General features: G+C 50.8%; 1 protein-coding gene across 4 annotated transcripts in view, besides 2 other annotated features; it reads right to left on the bottom strand.

The window, feature by feature from the left end:
• Positions 1–403: 403 nt before the first annotated feature.
• The window catches only part of C19orf38 (chromosome 19 open reading frame 38), a 33,106-nt gene continuing 8,951 nt past the window's right edge, over positions 404–24,558 (bottom strand). For 2 of the 4 annotated variants that reach the window (XM_005259846.6, XM_005259847.6), the window contains exons 2-8: positions 21,655–21,753; positions 19,627–19,935; positions 13,837–13,929; positions 11,851–11,878; positions 10,236–10,279; positions 6,987–7,024; positions 404–976 (exon numbers count right to left, since the gene is read on the bottom strand). In XM_005259846.6, coding sequence (XP_005259903.1) covers positions 827–976; positions 6,987–7,024; positions 10,236–10,279; positions 11,851–11,878; positions 13,837–13,929; positions 19,627–19,935; positions 21,655–21,685 — 693 coding nt within the window. In that variant the 5' untranslated portion in view covers positions 21,686–21,753 and the 3' untranslated portion in view covers positions 404–826. Of the gene's footprint in view, positions 977–6,986; positions 7,025–10,235; positions 10,280–11,850; positions 11,879–13,836; positions 13,930–19,626; positions 19,936–21,654; positions 21,780–24,558 lie in introns of those variants that run through there. The other 2 variants (NM_001136482.3, XM_047438562.1) reach the window with 2 other exon arrangements.
• Positions 5,497–5,616: an enhancer, noted in NCBI's record as "active region_13995". NCBI's record gives its function as "activates an Ori minimal core promoter by ATAC-STARR-seq in GM12878 lymphoblastoid cells {active_cell/tissue: GM12878}" and the evidence as "EXISTENCE:reporter gene assay evidence [ECO:0000049][PMID:35858748]".
• Positions 6,493–7,341: an enhancer, noted in NCBI's record as "H3K4me1 hESC enhancer chr19:10973529-10974377 (GRCh37/hg19 assembly coordinates)". NCBI's record gives its function as "activates a minimal SCP1, AML or CMV promoter by ChIP-STARR-seq in primed H9 embryonic stem cells {active_cell/tissue: H9 hESC(primed)}" and the evidence as "EXISTENCE:reporter gene assay evidence [ECO:0000049][PMID:30033119]".

The raw sequence follows: 24,558 nt of genomic DNA, 5'->3' as shown, positions 1-24,558 counted from the left end.
GACAGGGTCTCACTGTGTTGCCCAGGCTAGAGTGCAGTGGTGCCATCATAGCTTACTGCAGCCTCAACCTCCTGGGCTCAAGCAACCCCCTGCCTCGGCCTCCCAAAGTGCTGGGATTATAGGTGTGAGCCACTGCGAGGGGCCCTCATTCTCCTTCATGTCCCTCACCCGTAGCCCCTGTCATTCCACCTCCTAAACCCTCTAATGCAAGTACCGTTGCAGAGACCCTGGCATGGCACTGCTGCACTCCCCACACCCCCAGGAGGCTCCGCATACACCACCCTGACTGCCCTTGAGAGATGCTTCAAATTTGGTGAATTCAGACACGCTCCACCCCCCAGCCATCCAACCATGGGATCCAGAGGTCCCCAGCTTGAAGGATTCCACTCCATAGAGGCCTGGGAACACCTTGACCCGTGTTATAATTAATAACTTAAGCAAGCCAGCAGGCAGACACACAACACACCCAAGGGCACCCTATGCTCAAAAACCCACTGGGGAAGGGAGGAATTCCACGGGTGTGCAGAGACCTGGGACGTCTTATGGCCCAGCTGGGGGACAAGAAGGGGTCCTGACATCTCCTTCTCTGGTGGTCCTGAGGAGCCGAAGGTCGAGAGGGGAACTTCCTGTTGTCTGTATAGTGCCAGGCCCATGCCTGTGTCCCCTCTCCCACTCCTCTGTGATGAAAATCCCAAGGCCAGGGTTCCCCTTCCTTTCCTCTGTCCAATTCCCTGAGAAAGTGGCTGACAGAGCCCCCCCAGAAGTAGCTGGAGGGACCTCAGGCCCCCGAATGCCTGGAGACAGAGGGGTCCCCCAGTCCTCAGCCTCACTGGCAGGCCCGGAAAGTGCTGAATTCGGGGGTCTCAGGCGAGGAGGACGTGGAAGTGGGCCTCTTCCGGGTCCTGGAGTTGCTGGGGGTGGCAGTGGTGCCTGAGTGATCATCCAAGGTGGCCGGGTCTTCTTCTGGCATCGTTTTCTTTGTCCATGTAAGAAGAAACACAGAAGTGGGTGATTTGGGGTTTCAGGATCTAGGGTTTCTCCATGTTCTGAGCCTGAGACTCTGCCAGCCCAGCAGGTCTCCTCTCATCCCGCCCCCACCCACACCCACCTGTCCTGGTCTTCCCTTCTCCTGCCTTCCTCTCTGCTAAACTGGGGACCAGAGAGCATGGATTCAAACACCAGTTCCTTCACTTTATAGCAGTGTAACCTCAGTTGTGTGGCTTCACCCCTCTATACCTCAGTTTCCCCTTCTGCAAAACGGGCAGAATGCTAGTACCCACCACTTCCTAGGGCTGCTATGAGGCTTAAAAGAGTAAAACTGATAAAGCAAATGGCACATCGTAAGCTCTTCTTTGCTAAGTGAACACAACCATTCATATTATCTCCTCTGTTGGGCCCAGTGGCTCACGCCTGTAATCCCAGCACTTTGGGAGACCGAGGTGGGTGGATCACCTCAGGTCAGGAGTTCGAGACCAGCCTGGCCAACATGGTGAAACCCTCTCAGAAAAATACAAAAATTAGGTGTGGTGGTGCACGCCTGTAATCCCAGCTACTCGGGAGGCTGAGGCAGGAGAATCACCTGAACCCAGGAGGTGAAGGTTGCAGTGAGCTGAGATCCTGCCACTCCTCTCCAGCCTGGGGAACAAAGTGAGACTTGGTCTCAAAAAAATAAATAAATAAAAAATAAATAGTATTATCTCCTCCTCCCCTCCCATTTGCCCATGGGCAAAACATTCCTCAAAAGTCTACCTCCTCCTCTGCCTTGGAGGCTCCTGACCCTGATCCTAGTTAAAGAGAGATGAATTTGCTAGAACTAAAGCCACTCAGTTGACAGCAGGCTGGGGGTTCCACCCACAGTCCTGTCCCTCCCAAGCTGGGTGACCCTAGGCCCATTATCAGCCTCAGTGTCCTTGTTCGTAAAAAGAAAATAATCGATCCCACCTGAAAGGGTGTTACAAAGTTGCATATCAGACACTCAGCAAGGTAATGGGGAAAGCTAGAGACAGGTCAGCTGCTGCCTTACCATTTCAGCCAACGACAAAGCAGTATAAGGCTTCAAAAGGAAACTAGAAGTGAAAGCAGAGACTCCAAAAGAAATTTGCATACCCATGGTCATGGCACGGTTCTGCACAACAGCCAAAAGGTGGAAACAACCCAAGTGTCCATCAACAATTGAATGGATCAACAAAACTTGGTGTATCCATACAACACAATATGATTCAGCCTTAAAAAGGAAGAACAGGCTGGGCACGGTGGCTCACACCTGTAATCCCAGCACTTTGGGAGGTCGAGGCGGGCGGATCACCTGAGGTCAGGAGTTCAAGACCAGCCTGGCCAACATGGTGAAACCCCATCTCTACTAAAACTACAAAAATTAGCCGGGCATGGTGGCAGGCGCCTGTAATCCCAGCTACTTGGGAAGCTGAGGCAGGAGAATCGCTGGAGGCTGGGAGGCAGAGGTGGCAGTGAGCCGAGATCACACCACTGCACTGCAGTCTGGGCGACAGAGTGAGACACTGTCTCAAAAAAAAAAAAAAAAAAAAAAAAAAAAAGAATGTTCTTCCTTTTTTTTTTCTGAGATGGAGTTTCGCTCTTGTTGCCCAGGCTGGAATGCAATGGCGTGATCTCAGCTCACAGCAACTCCGCCTCCTGGGTTCAAGTGATTCTCCTGCCTAAGCCTCCCGAGTAGCTGGTATTACAGGCATGTGCCACCATGCCCGGCTAATTTTTTTTTTTTTTTTTTGTAGTTTTAGTAGAGATGGGGTTTCTCCGTGTTGGTCAGGCTAGTCTCGAATTCCCAACCTCAGGTGATCTGCCCGCCTTGGCCTCCCAAAGTGCTGGCATTATAGGCATGTGCTACCGTGCCTGCCATGAAGGACATTCTGACACAGGCTACGTATGGCATGAATGAACCTTGAGGACATCAAGCTCAGCGAAACAGGCCAGTCACAAAAGGAAAAATATCATGTGATCTCATATCCATGAGATGTCCAGAAGAGGCAAATCCACAGAGACAGGAGAATGGTGGGTGCCAGGGGCTGGGGGAGGGACAACGGGGAGTGGGTGTTGCACGGAGACAAGTTTGGGAGGATGAGAAATTTCTGGGCCGGGCACGGTGGCTCATGCCTGTAACCCCAGCACTTTGGGAGGCCGAGGCGGGCAGATCACTTGAGGTCAGGAGTCTGAGACCAGCCTGGCCAACTTGGTGAAACCTTGTCTCTACTAAAAATATACAAAAATTATACAAAAATTAGGCTGGGTGCAGTGGCTCATGCTTATAATCCCAACACTTTGGGAGGTTGAGGTGGGTGGATCACCTGAGGTCAGGAGTTCAAGACGAGCCAGGCCAACATGGTGAAACCCTGTATCTACTAAAAATACAAACATTAGCTAGGTGTGGTATCAGGCACCTACAGTCCCAGCTACTTGGGAGGCTGAGGTGGGAGAATCGCTTCAACCCCAGAAGTGGAGGCTGCAGATGGCACCACTGCACTCCAGCCTGGACGATAATTGCGAAACTCCGTCTCCAAAAAAAAAAACTTTAGCCAGCCGCGGTGGCATGTGCCTGTAATCCAAGCTACTCGGGAAGCTGAGACATGAGAATTGCTTGAACCTGGGTGCAGCAAGCCAAGATCGTACCACTGCACTCCAGACTAGGCAACAAAGTGAAACTGTATCTTAAAAAAAAGGCCGGGCCTGGTGGCTCACGCCTGTAATCCCAGCACTTTGGGAGGCTGAGGCAGGTGGATCATTTGAGGTCAGGAGTTCGAGACTAGCCTGACAAACATGGAGAAACTCCGCTTCTACTAAAAATACAAAAAAAAAAAAAAAAAAAATTAGCTGGGCATGCTGGCGCTCGCCTGTAATCCCAGCTACTCGGCAGGAGAATCGCTTGAACCTGGGAGGTTGAGGTTGCAGTGAGCCAAGATGGCACCACTGCACTCCAGCCTGGTGACAGAGCGAGAGTCCGTCTCAAAAAAAAAAAAAAATTAGCCAGGCATGGTGGCAGGCACCTATAATCCCAGCTACTTGGGAGGCTGAGGCAGGAGAATCACTTGAACCCAGGGGGGGAGGTTGCAGTGAGCCAAGATCATGACATCCCTTTACTCCAGCCTGGGCGAAAGAGCAAAACTCCATCTCAAAAAATTAATAAAATAAAATTTAAAAATAAAAAGGAAGAAAAATAAATAAATAAATATATATATAAAAATAAACTAGCTGGGCATGGTGGTGGAAGTCTGTGGTCCCAGCTACTCGGGAGGCTGAGGCTGGAGGATCTTTTGAGCCCAGGTGATCAAGGCTGCAGTGAGCTATGATGGTGCCCCTGCACTCCAGCGTGGGAGACAGAGCAAGACCCTGTCTCAAAAAAAAATTGGCGGGGGTGGTGGGTGAAGGTACAGATCCACTTCTGCGTGTATTTGCCACGTGCAGCTGCTAACAGTGGTTACCTGTATGTCTGCAGAAAGGAATACCAATGGATGAAGAGGCATGGCTTAGTAAGAAAACTTTATTGTATATTTTGACATGTGAATGCTTTTCATACGGAAATTTTTTGTTTGTTTGAGACAAAGTCTTGCTCTGTCACCCAGGCTGGAGTGCAGTGATGCAATCATAGCTCACTGCAGACTCAACCTCCCAGGCTCAAGCAATCTTCCCACCTCGGCCTCTTAAAGTGATGGGATTACAGGCATGAGCCACCACGCCTGGTCCTTAATTTAAGAAAAAAAAAGTAAAAAAACAAATAAAAGGCCGGGCATGGTGGCTCATGCCTGTAATCCCAGCACTTTGGGAGGCCAAGGCGGGCGGATCACCTGAGGTCGGTTGTTGGAGACCAGCCTGGCCAACATGATGAAAACCCGTCTCTACTAAAAATACAAAAATTAGCCGGGCGCGATGGCAGGCGCCTGTAATCCCAGCTACTCGGGAAGCTGAGGCAGGAGAATCGCTTGAATCCAGGAGGTGGAGGTTGCAGTGAGATCAAGCCACTGCACTCCAGCCTGGGTGACAGAGCAAGACTCCATCTCAAAAAACAAACAAAAATAAATAAAAACTACCTCAAAAAGTGGGGAGAGGGGGCATCACCAGGCTGGTGTTCTGTGCGGTGTGGATTCTCATGGAAACGTTTAGATTGAGCCCTGCCTGCCGGGTTTTTCTTATGGCCTCAGGATTTATTCTGGAAGCAGAGACCTCAGAGGGCTGCACAGGCCCGTGCCAAGCCCCCTTCCTTCCTACCATCTGTATCCCAGGCACTCCTAGTCTATCTCTAGAACTGACCTCTCTCCTGAACTGTAGACTCCCCTCTCCATCTGCTCCCAGGCGCCATGGGTTGAGGTGGCTGACTCCACACTCCTGACCCTCCAAGCCTCACCCTCCTTGGCCTCCCTCTTCTCCCTTGGCCCCCTCATCAAAAATCAGCTCTGTGTTTTCTCTCCCCTATATCTCCCCTAACCTGCATCTGATCACTTCTTCGAACTCCACTGCCAACATTTTGGACCAAACCACCCACCCTTTGGTGCACGCTTGGCCCAGCTCTTCAGTCTCCAGGCTCCTGCCTTCCACTGATCCCCGCTTTCCCCAAATCTGTCCTCCTGCAGAAGCCACCAGAGGGCGCCTGTGTGCACCTGAATCCGGTCCCCTCCCTCCTATACTAGGAACCCTTCCGGGATCCCAGCTCAATAGCAGTAAAATCAAAGTTCTTCATGGGGTCCCCTTCGACTCCTCACTCCACCCCAGCTTACTGGGCTGTGCCAAAAATGTGTCCTCAGCCTGGATCAATCATCCCCAATCTTCCCCACCTCCTGCTTGTCACCCATCTCAGACTTTCCTGATCTCCTGTCTAAAGCAGCTTCCGCAGCCAGCCAGCATGGTGGCTCACACCTGTAATCCCAGTGGATCACCTGAGGTCAGGAGTTTGAGACCAGCCTGGCCAGCATGGTGAAACCCCCGTCTCTACTAAAAATACAAAAATCAGCTGGGTGTGGTAGCATGTGCCTGTAATCCCAGCTGCCCGGGAGGCTGAGGCATGAGAATTGCTTGAACCCGGGAGTCGGAAGTTGTGTGAGCCGAGATCACACCACTGTGCTCCAGCCTGGGCGACAGAGCTAGACTCTGTCTTGAAAAAAAACAAATCCCTCCCTCTGCTTTTGGGGGATATTGTTCCCCATTGTCACACAGTGTCAGGGCTGGGATTTAAACCTGGGTCTATGGGACTCTCTGCACAGCTACATTTTGGGGTAGCCTTGGCATTTGTACTTTTTCATTTTTATCTGTTTGTTTGTTTTAGATGGAGTTTTGCTCTTGTGGCCCAGGCTGGAGTGCAATGCCTCAATCTTGGCTCACTGCTACCTCCACCTCCTGGGTCCAAGTGATTCTCCTGTCTCAGCCTCCCAAGTAGCTGAGATTACAAGCATGCACCACCACGCCCAGCTAATTTTTTGTATTTAGCAGAGATGAGGTTTCACCATATTGGTCAGGCTGGTCTCAAACTCCTGACCCACACCCGCCTCGGCCTTCCAAAGTGCTGGGATTACAGACGTGAGTCACCGCACCCAGCAACTTCATGCTTTTCTTTATACCCAGAGGGGACCGACCACAGCCTGTCACAGATTGTGACACAGATTGTCACAAGCCTCTATGAGAGGCCACCAGGTCACCCTGAATCCTCTGTCACCATTCTGAGGGGCTGTCATGACTGAGACCAAAGGCAGCACTGACCAGGCCAGGACATACCACCAAGGGGCCTGCCTGCCTGTGGCCACAAGACAGCCTGACGTCACCACCTTCAATTAACACACCCCCTGGGATTTTTTCACAGCCAACTCTCGGCTCACTACTGAGTCCCTGTTCAGTGATTCTGGGCTTTTCCTAGCCCCCCCGCAGCTTAGAGACAGCAGGTCAACTTAGCCTCGTGGTGCCCCTTGAGCCCGCCCCGTTCTCCCGGTAGGACGGTCAGCAGAAAACCGGTTCCAAGAAAAAGAACCACTCACCGCGGAGACGGTAAACAGGGAGTTATCGAAGGACATGTCTGAAACAGAAAGAGAAAGAAAACCCAGGATTGGGGGCCAGTTGTAACTTCCCTGCTCCCTGCCATCCCCGCACTGCCCCCCAGCCCACAGGGAAGCAATTGGGGTCCATCTCCCAGCATCCTCTATGGCGCCTTTCCAACCCATTCTGCACGGTGAACTGTTCACAGCTACAAAGTGAACCAAGTCCTTCTACACACAGTCTTCCTAGGGGTATCTCTCACTGCCCTCAGGAAAATGGGTGTCTTATCTCAGGCCTTCCAGAAGGAGCACCTGCCAGCTCCTCCTCCTCCCCAGGCTCTCCTCCAATTGCTCCATCACCCATTTTTTTTTTCTTGTTTTTGAGAAGGAGTCTCACTCTGTTGCCCAGGCTGGAGTGCAATGACAGGATCTCGGCTCAATGCAACTTCCGCCTCCTGGGTTCAAGTGATTGTCCTGCCTCAGCCTCCTAATAGCTGGGATTACAGGCATGCACCACTACACCTAGCTAATTTTCATATTCTTAGTAGAGATAGGGATTCACCATGTTGGCCAGGTTGGTCTTGAACTCCTTGCCCCAAGAGATCTGCCTGCCTCGGCCTCCCAAAATGCTGGGATTACAGGTGTGAGCCACCACACCCGGCCTCCATTACCCATTCTTGTAGGTCTCTGCTTAAACATCACTTCTAGCCAGGTGAGGTGGCTCACGGCTGTAATCCCAACGCTTTGGAAGGCCAAGGAGGGAGGATCACTTGAGCCCAGGAGTTCAAGACCAGCCTGGGCAACATAATTTTTTGTCTCTAGAAAAAAAAATTTAAAAAGTAGCTGAGTGTGGTGGTGTATGCCTGTGGTCCCAGCTACTCAGGAGGCTGAGAGGGGAGGATCACTTCAGCCTAGGAGGTCGAGGCTGCAGTGAGCTATGATTGCGCCACTGCGTTCCTGTCTGGGTGACAGAGCAAGACTCTGTCTCAAAAAAAAAAAAAAAAAAAAACAGGCTGGGCGCGGTGGCTCATGCCTGTAATCCCAGCACTTTAGGAGGCTGAGGCGGGCAGATCACGAGGTCAGGAGATCGAGACCATCCTGGCTAACATGGTGAAATCCCATCTCTACTAAAAAAATACAAAAAATTAGCCGGGTGTGGTGGCGGGCGCCTGTAGTCCCAGCTACTCAGGAGGCTGAGGCAGGAGAATGGCTTGAACCCAGGAGGCAGAGCTTGCAGTGAGCCCAGATCGCGTCACCGCACTCCAGCCTGGGCGACAGAGTGAGACTCCGCCTCAAAACAAAAACAAACAAAAAACAACAACAACAAAAGGGCGGTGGCTCACGCCTGTAATTGCCTGTAATCTCAGCACTTTGGGAGGCTGAGGTGGGTGGATCACCTGAGGTCATGAGTTCGAGACCAGCCAGGCCAACATGGTGAAACCCTACCTCTACTAAAAATACAAAAATTAGCCGGGCATGGTGGCACGTGCCTGTAATCCCAGCTACTCGGGAGGCTGGGGCAGGAGAATCACTTGAACCCGGGAGGCAGAGGTTGCAGTAAGCTGAGATCGTGCCACTGCACTCCAACCTGGGCGACACAATGAGACTCCATCTCAAAAAAAAAAAGAAAAACATCACTTCCTCAGGGGACCACCTGCCTTGTCCCAGACACAGTCTGGTGCCATCACGGGCTGTTTCCCATTGGAGAATGGGCTTGTGGACAGACAGCACATCTGTCTTGGTTACGAAAGGACCCTCTCAGATCTTAGCACATAGTAAGTGCTCAATAAGTGTGTGTGTTGGACCAGGAATGAAGTACAGAGAATACATTTCTCTGCTTGGGGTGCCTTCAAGAGAATATCCTGCATGACAGACTGGCTGCCTTTCGCCCCCTTGGGGAAGCTGGCAGAATGGCATGTTCTGGAAGGCAAGTGTGGCCCTGGAGTCCCGGAGATAGACATGGTCCTTTCCCCATGGAGCTGGCCGTTCAGCAGAGGAAATGAGTATGAAATATGCAAGCACCCAATGATCACTTAATTGTTTCATTTTTGTTTCTTTCTTCCTTTTTTGAGATGGAGTCTCACTCTGTCACCAGGCTGGAGTGCAGTGGCGCAATCTTGGCTCACTGCAACCTCTGCCTCCTGGGTTCAAGTGATTCTCCTGTCTCAGCCTCCCAAGTAGCTGGGACTACAGGAACACGCCACCATGCCCAGCTAATTTTTGTATTTTCAGTAGAGACAGGGTTTCACCATGTTGGCCAGGATGGTCTCGATCTCCTGACCTCGTGATCCACCTGCCTTGGCCTCCCAAAGTGCTGGGATTACAGGCGTGAGCCACCGTGCCTGGCCCTTTCTTTTTTTTTTTTTTTTTGAGATGGAGTCTCGCTCTGTCGCCCAGGCTGGAGTACAGTGGCGCGATCTGGGCTCACTGCAAGCTCTGCCTCCTGGGTTCACGCCATTCTCCTGCCTCAGCCTCCTGAGCAGCTGGGACTACAGGCACCCGCCACCACGCCCACCTAATTTTTTGTATTTTTAGTAGAGATGGGGTTTCACTGTTTTAGCCAGGATGGTCTCGATCTCCTGACCTCGTGATCCGCCCACCTCGGCCTCCCAAAGTGCTGGGATTACAGGCGTGAGCCACCACGCCTGGCCTTTTTTTTTTTTTTTTTTTTTTTTTGAGATGGAGTCTGGCTCTGTTGCCCAGGCTAGAGTGCAGTGGCGCAATCTCAGCTGACTGCAACCTCCGCCTCCCAGGTTCACATGATTCTCCTTGCCTCAGCCTCCCAAGTAGCTGGGATTACAGGTGTCCGCCACCACACCCTGCTAATTTTTTTGTATTTTTAGTAGAGACGGGGTTTCACTATGTTGGCCAGGCTGATCTCGAATTCCTGACCTCGTGATCTGCCTGCCTCAGCCTCCTAAAGTGCTGGGATGACAGTTGTGAGTCACCGCGCCTGGCCGCCTAATTGTATTTCTACCGAGGGGTAAGAAGAATGGTCGGACCTGGGGTCCTGTAAGTAGCAGGCACAGACCCTGTCTAGGGAGTCAGGGAAGGCTTCCCAGAGGAGGTGACCTTTAGGTTAAGTCAAAGGAGAGAAGGTGAGAACCCAGGGGAAGAGGTGGCGAGGGTGTGTTTTGACCCTAAAGGGAACAAGCAGTCACAGAAGAAATTTGATTGGTGTGTGATGAGGCCTGATGGCATTTGGAGGTGTAATCCTTTCCCCACTGGAGTCAGGAGTGTGGAGGCACAGACCTGTGCTGTCGAAGTTAATCTGGGCCCAGCAGGATTCTCGATCTCTGCAAAGGAATTCAGGAGAAAGTGACAGGGATCAGGGTTGCCCCTTGAGTCAGGAGGCTTGATCGGGAAAGCCCTGGCCCCAAACCACACCCAAAATGTAGCCTTTGCTCCCCACCCACTGACCCATGGGTCTTCCCCACAGAAGAGCAGTAACATCCTGATTTCTGGAGCTGTCACACTGTGGGACAGCCCCTTGGCCGGGGGAAGAAAAAAACATGGAAATTCTCTTGGGCCAGGCGCAGTGGCTCACGCCTGTAATCCCAGCACTTTGGGAGGCTGAGGCAGGTGGATCACTTGAGGTCAGGAGTTCAAGACCAGACTGGACAACACAGTGAAACCCCGTCTCTACTAAAAAATACAAAAATTAGCCAGGTGTGGTGGCATGTGCCTGTAGTCCCAGCTACTCAGGAGTCTGAGGCAGGAGAATCGCTTGAACCCAGGAGGCGGAGGTTGCAGTGAGCCGAGATTGCGCCACTGTACTCCAGCCTGGGCGACAGAGTGAGACTCCGTCTAAAAAAAAAAAAAAAAATATATATATATATATATATATATATATATATATATACACACACACACACACACATACATACACACACACACATACATACACACACACACATATACACACACACATACACACACACACACACACACACACACACACACACATATATAAAAGCCAGGCACGGTGGCTGATGCCTGTAATCCCAGCACTTTGGGAGGCACAGGCGGGCGGATCACCTGAGGTTGGGAGTTCAAGACCACCCGGACCAACATGGAGAAATCCCGTCTCTACTAAAAATACAAAATTAGCCGGGTGTGGTGGCACATGCCTGTAATCCCAGCTGCTCAGGAGGCTGAGGCAGGAGAACTGCTTGAACGCAGGAGGCAGAGGTTGCGGTGAGCCAGAGATCAGGCCATTGCACTCCAGCCTGGGCAACAAGAGTGAAACTCCATCTCAAAAAAAAAAAAAAAAACATATATATATTCTCCTGGTTAGGAGGCCCACAGCCAGGTGAAGCTGGGATTCAATCCCCAGAGCAGGTTTTCATCTCCAGGCAGCAGGATGTCTCCCCACTCTCGGAGGAGAGAAACTGAGGCCAGGGCCAGTTAGGACATCCTGGTGCCCAGGAACCTGGGCCATCACCTACAGTGCAATTGGGCACTGCACAACCCCAGGGGCATTCTTTAGAAACTGACTGTGGGTGTCTAGAGTGATTGTGACCGTTTTCTGGCAGCTGGAGGTAAAGGGGTGTGGGGAAGGGCCTCTCCCTGGGCAAACTGCTCACTCTGTGACTGAGTGCTGAGCCTCAGTCCTCTCTTCTGTAAAATAGGGCTATTCATGGTGCCTGTTTCCAGGGCTGCCATAAGGATAAGGAGCTCCAGCTTCAGAGAGTCCCAGCTCAGTCCTCCAGCACACAGGAGGCACTTAATAAATGGCTCCTGTTCCTATTACGCAGCATGCCCACCAGGAGGCGCTGTTTGTGGGGGGCATGGAGTGCCCACCCTGCCAGGGAAGTGTCCTTCTTTCCCCAAACCACCCTCTGTGGGTCTCCAGGGATGATCTCACCTTTTCTTCTGTAAATTTCTGAGTTTAACTGGAACAAAAAAGAAATGAGCATGTGTTAGATTTTGGTCCTAATTGTATCCGGCAATTTCTGTTTTTTTTTTTTTTTTTTTTTTTTTTAGACAGAGTCTCATTCTTTCACCCAGGCTGGAGTGCAGTGGCTCAATCTTGGCTCACTGCAACCTCTGCCTCCTGGATTTAAGCAATTCTCCTGCCTCAGCCTCTCGAGTAGCTGGGATTACAAGTGTGCATCACCAGGCCAGGCTATTTTTGTATTTTAGTAGAGAAGAGGGTTCGTCATGTTGGCCAGACTGGTCTCGAACTCCTGACCTCAAGTGATCCACTTGCCTCGGCCTTTCAAAGTGCTGGGATTACAGGCAAGCCACCCCACCCAGCCTGGAAGGCCTCAGATTTTTCTTTCTTTCTTTCTTTCTTTCTTTCTTTCTTTCTTTTTTTGTTGTTTTTTGAGACAGAGTCTCGTTCTGTCGCCCAGGCTGGAGTGCAGTGGTATGATCTTGACTCACTGCAACCTCTGCCTCCCAGGTTCAAGCGATTCTTCTGCCTCACCCTCCCATGTAGCTGGGACTACAGGTGCACACCACCACGCCCGGCTAATTTTTGTGTTTTCATTAGAGATGGGGTTTCACCATATTGCCCAGGCTGGTCTCAAACTCCTGACCTCGCGATCTGCCCACCTCGGCCTCCCAAAGTGCTGGGCCATCCTGGACAACATGGTGAAACCCTGTCTCCACTAAAAATACAAAAGTTAGCTGGGTGTGGTGGCACGCACCTGTAGTCCCAGCTACTCGGGAGGCTGAGGCAGGAGAATCACTTTAACCTGGGAGGCGGAGGTTGCACTGAGTCGAGATTGTGCCACTGCACTCCAGGCTGGCAACAGAGCAAGTGAGTCGAGATCGCCTCACTGCACTCCAGCCTGGGTGACAGGGCAAGACTCCATCTTAAAAAAAAAAAAAAAAAAATATATATATATATATATATATATATATGTATGTGTGTGTGTGTGTATGTATATATATACACACATATATATATACATACACACACATATATACCCACACACATACACACACACACAAACACACATAATTTGGCTGGGCATGGTGGCACATGCCTGTAATTCCAGCATTTTGGGAGGCTGAGGCAGGAAGATCACTTGAACCCAGGAGTTCAAGACCAGCCTGGGCAATATAGCAAGACCCTATCTCAACAAAAAATATTTTTTAAAAATTAGCCAGGTGTGGTAGTGTGTGCCTGTGGTCCCAGGACTTTTGGGAGGCTGAGGTGGGAGGATTGCTTGAGCCCAGGAGTTACCCAGCCTGGGCAACACAGCAAGACCCTGTCCTAAAAAAAATAAATAAATAATTAGCTGCATGTGGTGGCACGCACCTGTGGTCCCAGCTACTTGGGAGGCTGAGGCAGGAGAACTGCTTGAGCCCAGGAGGTCAAGGATGCAGCGAGCTATGATCCTGCCATTGCACTCCAGCCTGGGTGACAGACTGAGTCTCCAAATAAAAAATTTTTAGGCCGGGGACTGTGGCTCATGCCTATAATCCCAGCACTTTGGGAGGCCGAGGTGGGCGGATCACCTGAGGTCAGGAGTTCCAGACCAGCTTGGGCAACATGGCAAAACCACATCTCTTCTAAAAATACAAATATTGGCGAGGCATGGTGGTGCACGCCTGTAATCCCAGCTACTTGAGAGGCTGAGGCAGGAGAATTGCTTGAACCTCGAAGGCGGAGGTTGCAGTGGGCCGAGATCGTGCCACTGCACTCCAGCCTGGGCGACAGAGCGAGCCTCTGTCTGAAAAGAAAAATAATAAATAAATAAATAAATACTTTTAAAAGGGGTGTGATGAACAAATTACTGAACCTGAAAACAAAATGGTGTGAGTTGTGAGTGTAAGCACATCTTCACGTTCCAGAAGTTGTCAACTGGCAACTTGTGTGCCAGGCTTTGCGTGCTGTTACCTTTTCTGACCACCAGGGCAACAGCCACCAGCCCAGCAAGGAGGAAGAGGGCACCAGCCAGGCTCAGGGAGAGCACCAAGATCCAAGTGGGCACTGGAGGAAAATCAGAAAAGAGAGTGGGCAGGTCAGTGTCGTCTCTCCAGGTTACCTTTGAGTAGCCAGCCCTTACCCCATAACCCCCAACCAAAGAACATGAATGCAGCTGGACCCAAGAGACTTAGCAAACTTTGTGTCTGGCCAATTAGCCTATCCCCCGCTCCTGGCTATTGTGATTGGTTCAGGATGAGCATGTAACCCAAGTGGAGCCAATGAGAGCTAACTCTGGGACTTTGGTGGTACCACTGGGAAAAGAGGTTTACTCCTCTGGCTAGCATTGCATAGGATAGATATCTTAGGCCAGGTGCGGTGATTCATGCCTGTAATCCCAACACTTTGGGAGGCTGAGGCAGGTGGATTACTTGAGGCCAGGGGCTCAAGACCAGCCTAGCCAACACAGGGAAATTCTGTCTATATTAAAAATATAAATAATTGGCCAGGCGCAGTGGCTCACGCCTGTAATCCCCACACTTTGGGAGGCCAAGGCAGGTGGATCACTAGGTCAGTAGATCGAGACCATCCTGGCTAACACTGTGAAACCCCGTCTCTACTAAAAATACAAAAAATTAGCCAGGCGTGCTGGCACGTGCCTGTAGTCCCACTTACTCAGGAGGCTGAGGCAGGAGAATCACTTGAACCCGGGAGGCGGAGGTTGCAGTGAGCTGAGATGGCGCCACTGAACTCCAGCCTGGGTGACAGAGCAAGACTCTGTCTCAAAAAGAAACAAACAAAACAAAAAACAACAAAACCCCACAAATAATTAGCCAGGTGTGGTGCACACCTGTAATTCCAGCTACTTCAGAGGCTGAGGCACAAGAATAGTTTGAACCCGGGAAGTGGAGGGTGCACTGAGCTGAGATCGTGCTACTGCACTCCAGCCTGGGTGACACAGAGAGACCCCATCTGAAGAAACAAACAAAAAAAGAGATGGCTGGGCACGGTGGCTCACGCCTGTAATCCCAGCCCTTTGGGAGACTGAGGTGGGTGGATCACCTGAGGTCAGGAGTTCGAGATCAACCTGGCCAACATAGTGAAACCTCGTCTCTACTAAAAATACAAAAATTAGCCAGGTGTTACGTGCCTGTAATCCCAGCTACTTGGGACGCTGAGGCAGGAGAATCGATTGAACCCAAAAGGTGGAGGTTGCAGTGAGCCGAGATTGGGCCATTGCCTTCCAGTCTGGGTGACACAGCTAGAATCTGTCTCAAAAAAAAAAAAAAAAAAAAAAAAAGAATATATATCTGAAGCTTCAGGGCACAATCTTGCCTCCATGAGGGGGAGAAACTACCTGAGAATAAGACAGAAGAGGAGCTGAGAAGGCAAATGCTTTCTGTCATTTTTCAGCACCTGGATCCAGCCATATCTGAAGTCAGCCATGTAAACTGACTTCAGCTCAGTGAACCAACAAATCCCCTCTTGCTGGTAGAGCCAGTGTGAGTCAGGTTTTTATTACTTGCAGTCTGGGTGCCAGTGGCCAGATGACATCCACCCCCAGCCCAACGGTAGACCCTGAGATCCACCCAGAAGCTAGTCACACAGGCATGGGAGTGGCAGTTCCAGAGTCACCTTCTCAGCACAAGACTTCGCTTCCCCTTCCTGGAGAAAGAGGAGATGCCCTGACCCCAAGGGAGGTGAGGAGCTAAGCCAGAAGAGGGAAGAAGACAGACGCTTGGTATTCTCACAATGTCAGCCTTGTTCATTGATTCACCTGGGGCAGAAGGGGTGTTGTCAGCTCCCTACTCCAAGGCCACAAGGCCAAGGTGAGAGAAGGGGGCCTTTGATAGAGGAGCCTGAGGCCGGGAAGGACAGAGAACTGCCCTGTCATAGCTGCATGTTGGCCTCGGCTGGCAACAAGATTATTTTTTGCAGTGAAAAAGTTCTTTTTAAAAGTTTTTTTGGGCCAGGCGCGGTGGCTCATGGCTGTAATCCCAGCACTTTGGGAGGCCGATGTGGGCGGATCACTTGAGGTCAGGAGTTGAAGACCACCCTGGCCAACATGGTGAAACCCCATCTCTACTAAAAAATACAAAAATTAGCAGGGTGTGGTGGTTGGCGCCTGTAGTCCCAGCTACTCGGGAGGCTGAGGCACGAGAATCGCTTGAGCCTGGGAGGCAAAGGTTGCAGTGAGCCGAGATTGGGCCACTGCACTTCAGCCTGGGCGACAGAGTGAGACTCTGTCTCAAAAATTAAAAAAAAAAAAAAGTTTTTACAGACAGGGTCTCCCTCTGTCACCCAGGCTGGAATGCAGTGGTGCGATCATGGCTCACTATATCCTCTACCTCCCCGGCTTAAGTGATCCACCTGCCTCAGCCTACTGACACATGCCAGCAGTCCCTCCTAATTAAAAAAAAAAAAAAAAAAACATTAGCCGGACGGGGTAGCTCACGCCTGTAATCTCAGCACTTTGGGAGGCTGAGGTGGGCGGATCACAAGATCAGGAGATTGAGATCATCCTGGCTAACACTGTGAAACCCCTTCTTACTAAAAAAAAAAATACAAAAAATTAGCTGGGCATGGTGGCACATGCCTGTAGTCCCAGCTACTCGGGAGGCTCTGAGGCAGGAGAATCGCTTGAACCCGGGAGGCAGAGGTTGCAGTGAGCCGAGATCGTGCCACTGTACTCCAGCCTGGGCGACAGACCGAGACTGTCTCAAAAAAAAAAAAAAAATTGGGGGGAGCTGGGCATGGTGGCTCACGCCTGTAATTCCAGCACTTTGTGAGGCCGAGGCAGGCAGAACACCTGAGGTCAGGAGTTTGAGAGCAGCCTGGCCAGCATTGTGAAACCCCATCTCTACTAAAACTCAAAAAGTAGCTGGGCATGGTGGTGCACGCCTGTAATCCCAGCTACTCGGGAGGCTGAGGCAGGAGAATTGCTTGAACCTCGGAGGTAGAGGTTGCAGTGAGACTCGAGAGGCTGAGGCAGGAGAATTGCTTGAACCTCGGAGGTAGAGATTGCAGTGAGCTGGGGTCACACCACTGCACTCCAGCCTGGGCGACAGAGTGAGTCCCTGTCTTTACAAAAAATAGACATATTAGCCAGGCGTGGTGGTGCACGGCTGTAGTCCCAGCTGCTAGGGAGACTGAGAAGGGAAGATTGATTGAGCCCAGGAAGTGGAGGCTGCAGTGAGCTGTGATTGCGCCACTGCACTCTAGCCTGGTCAACAAAGCAAGACCCCTATCTAAAAAAAAAATAAAATAATTTTTTTTTTTTTTTGTAGAGACAGGGTCTCACTATGTTGCCCAGGCTGATCTTGAACTCCTTGGCTCAAGGAATCGTCCTGCCTCAGCCTCCCAAAGTCCTGGGCTTATAGGCGTGGGTCATTGCACCCGGCCAGGAAAGTTCTGACTGATGGTAACACAGAAGGCCACCAAAGGCTCCTCCCTCCTGCTTCTTGACCCATAACCCATGTCCAGCCTCCTCATTCAGAGATCAGAAAAGGACATCAGCCCTGCCAGGGTTCCCTCACTCAGGTGAAAAGATCGAATCCTTGCTGTGGTCTACAAGACCCCCCACGATCCTCCTGGTGAACTCCCTGCCCCGCCTCTCCCCATTTTCCTCCTTGTTCACCATCCTTCAGCCATACTGGGCTCCTCAGACACACCAGGGAAGCTTCAGCCTCGGGGCCTTTGCACATCCTGTATCCTCTGCCTGCAACACATGCCCTGGATATCCACATGATTGGCTCCTCCTCATCATTCAGTTTTTTGCTCAAATGCCACCTCCTCAGAGAGGGCTTCCCTGATTGCCCTACTCTACTTCAGAGTCCAGAGGGCTGACCATTAGAACATGGGGCCAGTCGCCCTACTCTACTTCAAATAATGACATCCTCACCCAGGTGGATTTCATCTGGTGCCCTGCTGGCAGGTTGAATATATATTGGATTTCATGTTTATCATCTGTCCTCATCCGCCTGGAATGTCAGCCTGGAATGTCTTTGGGCAAGCCCAAAGACAGTTCTTGGTCCATAGTAAGTGCTCAGAAACCTTATGTGGCTCATGCTGGGCATGGTGACTCACATCTGTAATCCCAGCTACTCTGGAGGCCGAGGTGGGAGGATCACTTGAGGTTAAGAGTTCAAGACTAGCCTGGTCAATATCTTTTTTTTTTTTGAGACAGAATCTTGCTCTGTCACCCATGCTGGAGTGCAATGGCACTGTCTTGGCTCACTGTAACCTCCGCCTCCCAGATTCAAATGATCCTCCTGCCTCAGCCTCCTGAGTAGCTGGGATTACACACGCATGCCACCACACCCAGCTATTTTTTGTATTTTTTTTTTTTTTTTTTTTGAGACGGAGTCTCGCTCTGTCGCCCAGGCCGGACTGCGGACTGCAGTGGCGCAATCTCGGCTCACTGCAAGCTCTGCTTCCCGGGTTCACGCCATTCTCCTGCCTCAGCCTCCCGAGTAGCTGGGACTACAGGTGCCCGCCACCGCGCCCGGCTAATTTTTTGTATTTTTAGTAGAGACGGGGTTTCACCTTGTTAGCCAGGATGGTCTCAATCTCCTGACCTCATGATCCACCCGCCTCGGCCTCCCAAAGTGCTGGGATTACAGGCGTGAGCCACCACGCCCAGCCTATTTTTTGTATTTTTAATAGACATAGGGTTTCACCATGTTGGCCAGGCTGGTCTTAAGCTCTGACCTCAGGTGATCCACCTACCTCAGCTTCCCAAAGTACTGGGATTACAAGCATGAGCTACCATGTCCGGCCCTGGTCAACATTTTAGACCCTCATCTCTAAAATAATTTTTTAAATTAGCTGGGCATGGTGGTGCACACCTGTAGTCTCAGCTACTTAGGAGGCTGAGGTGGGAGGATCACTTGAGGATAGGAATTGGAGGATGAAGTGAGCTATGATTGTGCCATTGCCCTCTAGTCTGCACGACCTTGTCTCATTTAAAAAAAAAAAAAAGCCAGGTGCAGTGGCTCATGCCTGTAATTCCAGCACTTTGGGAGGCTGAGGTAGGCGGATCATGAGGTCAGGGGTTCGAGACTGGCCTGGCCAACATGGTGAAATCCTGTCTTTACTAAAAATACAAAAATTAGCCGGGCATGGTGGCACACACCTGTAATCCCAGATACTCAGGAGGCTGAGGCAGAAGAATCGCTTGAACCAGGAGGCAGAGGCTGCAGTGAGCCAAGATCGTGCCACTGCACTCCAGCCTGGGCAACAAGAGCATAACTATCTCAAAGCAAACAAACAAAAAAAGTATGTGGCCAAGAGGGGAAGTAATGTATGTCACGGAGGTGTAATTCATGGTTTTTGGAAGGCAATGGCATCCCAGACTGGCTACCTGTTACCTGTGTACAAGGTGTGTACCTCCTGTGCCTCAGTTTCCTTATCTGCAAAATGGGAAGAATCACAGCACCAATTTTGGCACCAAGAGGGAGACGGGCTGCCTGACAATAAGACGGAGAAGAATGTGGAGCAGAGATGGGGCAAATGGTCCCTGACAGCTTTCAGCACCTGGATCTAGCCATACCTGAAGTCGGCCCTGTGAGCTGACTTAAGCTCAGTGAACCAACAAATCCCCTTTTGGGCTGGCTGAGAAGATTGAAAAAGGAAAGGCGAGTAAGTCCTGGCAGGGTGTAAGCCTGGCTTTTTCTGGGAAGGCCTCTGAGTCAACAGTACACACAAGAGGTCCATGTGAGAAAATTAAGCCCCCGGCAGTGAGATCCCATAGAAGGGCCTTACCTGGGAAGGAGACGTTCACGGGCTCGCTGAGGTCTGACAGCTGGGACTGGTTGAGCTCACCTAACACTCCATACTGGCAGTGGAAGGGTCCCCCTGGAGCCTTGCTGCTGCCGCCGCTCAGGTTAAATGTCACCCCGCGCTGGTCCGTGGGGGCCTGCAGGAGCTGGACCACCTGCCCCCCTCGATACAGTGTGAAATTCGCCCCCGGGAAGTTCCCAGGGGCCATGCATGCGATGTGGATGGGGTCCTCTTGGCTGCTTGGGTACGGGGGCACCAGCCGGATGGATGGTGCTGGGATCGCCAAGGAGCCTGCAATGCAGAGGGTAAGGTGGGTGGGTGCGTGGTGAGAGTGGAGGCTGCCCTGGCTATGTGGCCTCGGGCAAGTAGACCACCCTCCCTCAGCCTTGTGTTTTCTGTGAGTCAGGAGGCTAGTGACCCTACCCCACACTGCCTGGCACATGGTGACGGCTCCCTGTAGTTGAATTACTTTTCTTTTTTCTTTTTTTTGTGAGTCGGAGTCTCACTCTGCCACCCAGGATGGAATGTAGTGGTGTGATCTCGGCTCACTACAGCCTCCACCTCCCGGGTTCAAGTGATTCTCCAGCCTCCCAAGTAGCTAGGATTACAGGCATGTGGCACTATGCCTGGCCAATTTTTATATTTTTAGTAGAGATGGGGTTTCACTATATTGGCCAGACTGGTCTCGAACTCCTGGCCTCGTGTGACTCCCCCCACCTCGGCCTCCCAAAGTGCTGGGATTATAGGCGTGAGCTACCATGCCTGGCCATCAGTTTTCAATAATAGCATTGGTTATTACATAGCAACACAACTATACTCTTATTTTTTATTTAATTTATTATTACTTTATTTATTTATTTAGAGACAAAATCTTGCTTTGTCGCCCAGGCTGGAGTACAGTGGCCTCAGCCTCCTGAGTACCTGGGACTATGTGCCACCATGCCTGGCTAATTTTTATATTTTTAGTAGAGACGGGGTTTCACCATGTTGGCCAGGCTGGTGAACCTGGCTAGCTAATTTTGCTTATTTTGTGTAGAGATGGGATCTCACTATGTTGCCCAGATCCTCACCTCAAGTGATCCTCCCACCTTGGCCTCCCACGAGCTGAGTCCTGAGTGGTGAGGAAGGACCCATTTGGAGAGCTGGGGAAGGGCATTCCAACAGAGGGAACAGCATAGGCAAAGGTCCAGGGGATGGAAGGGGAATGGGGGTGTTTAAGGAGGAGCAAACACCTGATGCAGTGGCTCACGCCTGTAATCCCAGCACTTTGGGAGGCCAAGGTGGGAGGACTGCTTGAGCCCAGGAATTTGAGACTAGCCTGGAGAACACAGTGAGACCCTGTCTCTATTTAAAAATAAAAATAAATATTAAAAAAGGAGCAGCAAGGAGGCCATCATGGCAGGAGGGAGGGGGTGAGTGAGGTGGGTGGCAGGAAGGGGAGGGGGTGAGTGAGAGGGAGGGCAGGAGAAGGAAGGGCAGAGGACTTTTATCTCCTTTCCCAGGCTTGGGTGAAGAATACGGATTTTGGAGCACGGCTTCCTGCAGGATGGTCTCCTGGGGATCCATCTCTCTCCTGATTGCCCACAGGCTTCTGAGCAGAGTGTCTGGCCAGGTGAGGTCTATACAAACCCTCCCTCGTCCAGCCTCCAACCCCCACCCACCCCTGCCACACTGATATCCCCCTAGGTAGACCCTCCTGCTGCCCCAGCACTCAAGGAGCCTTCAGAGACGAAGCGGGGCTGAATCATGGGGTGTGGGCACAGCTGACTCCAGAGGGGTGATATTTCTGATATTCATAAACTTGGGGGTGATGAGGAGCCTAAGAAGAAAAAACCAACACTACTGGAGAGTTTCCAAGGCTCAGGGGGAAAACCCATCTGCCAAGGGCTCAGCCTCCTCGATGCCCTGAGAACGGCAGCCCCTGCACTGGTTTCTGCCCCTGGAGCGGCAAGGTGGACAGAGGATGGGGGGAAAGGCGTGGGGGATCTGAGAGGGGGGCTTCAGACTCACCAGCTGCAAAGAGCAAGATGGTCCAGGGCATCTCTCTCTGCGTTTGGCTGGGAAATCCGGCTGAGGCCAGAGGGGCCCAAGGCTCCCCGCCAACTCCTCCTGTGAGGCCAGATCGGGGAAAGGAGAACCAGGGCTGATTCTCGAGCTGAGAGTTTCCTCACTGGCAGGAAGTTGCACACACAGGCTTGGGCACTGAAAGGGACTCTCTCCCCTCCCCACCCCTTCCCCAAACACACATCAGACCCGCGCACCTCTCTGGTTGCGGTTCTGCAGATTAGAGGGGAAAAAAATGGATGAGATGTTTAGGTGGTTTTCACAATTTTTTCCTCTTTTTTTATTTTTATTTTTTGAGACAGAGTCTTGCTCTGTTGCCCAGGCTGGAGTGCAGTGGAGCGATCTCGGCTCACTGCAGCCTCCACCTCCCAGGTTCGAGTGATTCTCCTGCCTCAGCCTCCTGAGTAGCTGGGACTACAGGCAGGAGCCATCATGCACAGCTAATTTTTGTATTTTTAGTAGAGACGGGGTTTTGCTGTGTTGGCCAGGATGGTCTCGATCTCTTGACCTCATTATCTGCCCGCCCCAGCCTCCCAAAGTGCTGGGATTTCAGGCGTGAGCCACCGTGCCCAGCCTTTTGTCTCTCCTTCTAAGAGAACTCCTGGGAATGAGACAGGGTGACAGCAGTGGGATGTTTGGAAACCCATGCCCAAGACACAAACCATAGCCTAACCAGCACCAACATTTAAACAAATATGGGCAGGAGTGGGAGGACATGGTGGTTAGGGCTTGGCCTCTGTGACCTCAGGCATGGCTTACCTCCTTTGAGGCTTCAGTATACTGCTCTGCAGAATGGGGCTAAGAGTAGTAGACATTAGGCCAGACGTGGTGGCTCACGCCTGTAATCCCAGCACTTTGGGAGGCTGAGGTGGGCAGATCACCTGAGGTCAGGAGTTCGAGACCAGGCCAACGTGGTGAAACCCCGTCTCTACTATATACAAAAAATTAGCCGGGCGTGGTGGCACACGCCTGTAATCCCAGCTACTCGGGAGGCTGAGGCAGGAGAATCACTTGAACCCAGGAGATGGAGATTGTGGTGAGTTGAGATCGCGCCATTGCACTCCAGCCTGGGCAACAAGAGTGAAATTCCATCTCAAAAAAAAAAAAAAAAAAAAAGAGCAGTGGACATTAGATTCAAAGAACTTGTAGTAGGAAATGCAACGCCTAGTGGGTAGTGCATGCTCACAAGGTAAAGTTACAGGGAGGAAAAAGACTCAGAAGTTTGATCAGCCACATGAAAGGGAATACCAGTTCCAGATCAATTCTGGATATAGTTTGTGATATAGTTCACAGGATAAACTGCCTCCTGTTTACAGCCCAGAAACTTCCAAGTTTCTCTTACTACTGGGTTTGCATTTATCTTTTTAAACATTTCTGTTCAAGCCAGTCAGGTTTGCTTGGGGGTTTGGACCCAAGAAGGATGTGGCATGTGGTCATCAAACACCAAAATGCGTCATTAGAGTAAACTTTTTTCTTTGGACACAGAAAGTTCAATCCAACCTCAGGGCCTTTGCACACACTATTTCCCTGGCCTGGAACACAATTCTGTCAACCTGGTCAAATCCTGCTTCTCCTTCAGGTCTCAGTTTAAATAGCACTTCTGGGAAAACTTTCCAGGCCCCTCTGGACTTAGAACAATCCCCTAGCTAAATTCTCCCACAGTGCCCTGTAATATTCCTTTATTGCAATTGGCATGCTTGTATCTTCAAGGAATTTGCTCATTTCATCAGAGTTGTCAAATGTATTGGTGTAAAGTTATTTATATCCCCTTACTATCCTTTTAATGTCTGTAGGGTCTGTAGTGATGTTCCTTCTTTCATTCCTGACACATAAATTAGTGAAGTCTCCTTGTCTCTTATCGGTCTTCCTAGGAGCTAATCATTGTTATTGATCTTTTCAAAGTGCCACAGTTTGGATTTGTTGTTTTATTTTCTATTTTATTGCCTTTTGACTTGACTTTATTCTTTTCTTTTTTCTGGTTACCTTATGTTCAATTGGCTCTTCTTTTCCTAGCTCATGTTTTGTTTTTAAATTTAAACTTCACCAGCAGAAATTTGTATTAATAGCTTCTTAAGATGGATGCTTATATAAACTCTTTTTATTAAAAAAAAATTTTTTTTAATTAGCCAGATGTGGTAGTGGGTGCCTGTAGTCCCAGCTACTCGGGAGGCTGAGGCTGGAGAATGGCGTGAACCCGGGAAGGAGAGCTTGCAGTGAGCTGAGATCATGCCACTGCACTCCAGCCTGGGCAACAGAGCGAGACTCTGTCTCAAAAAAAAAACAACAAAAAAACATTTTTTTTTTGAGACAGGGTCTTGCTCTATTGCTCAGGCTACAGTGAAGCAGCATGATCATGACTCACTGCAGCCTCACCCTGCTGGGCTCAAGAGATCATCCCATCTCAGCCTCCTGAGTAGCTGGGACTACAGGTGTCCACCACCACACCTGGCTAATTAAAAAAAAAAAAATTGTAGAGACAGGGTCCTATTATGTTACCCAGCCTGATCTTGAACTCCTGGGCTCAAGCAATCCTCCTGACTCAGCCTCCCAAAGTGCTGGGATTACAGGCAGCTCATTAACTTTAAACCCTCTTTTTTTTTTTTTTTTTTGACGGAGTCTTGCTCTGTCGCCCAGGCTGGAGTGCAATGGCGTGATCTCGGCTCACTGCAAGCTCTGCCTCCCAGGTTCACGCCATTCTCCTGCCTCAGACTCCTGAGTAGCTGGGACTACAGGCACCCACCACCATGCATGGCTAATTTTTTGTATTTTTAGTGGAGATGGGGTTTCACCATGTTAGCCAGGATGGTCTCGATCTCCTGACCTCATGATCCACCTGCCTCGGCCTCCCAA

This window comes from Homo sapiens, chromosome 19, assembly GCF_000001405.40.
Source record: "Homo sapiens chromosome 19, GRCh38.p14 Primary Assembly".
NCBI lineage: Eukaryota > Metazoa > Chordata > Mammalia > Primates > Hominidae > Homo > Homo sapiens.
The sequence above is the reverse complement of the archived record's forward strand: the minus strand, read 5'-3'. Positions and strand labels throughout refer to the sequence as shown.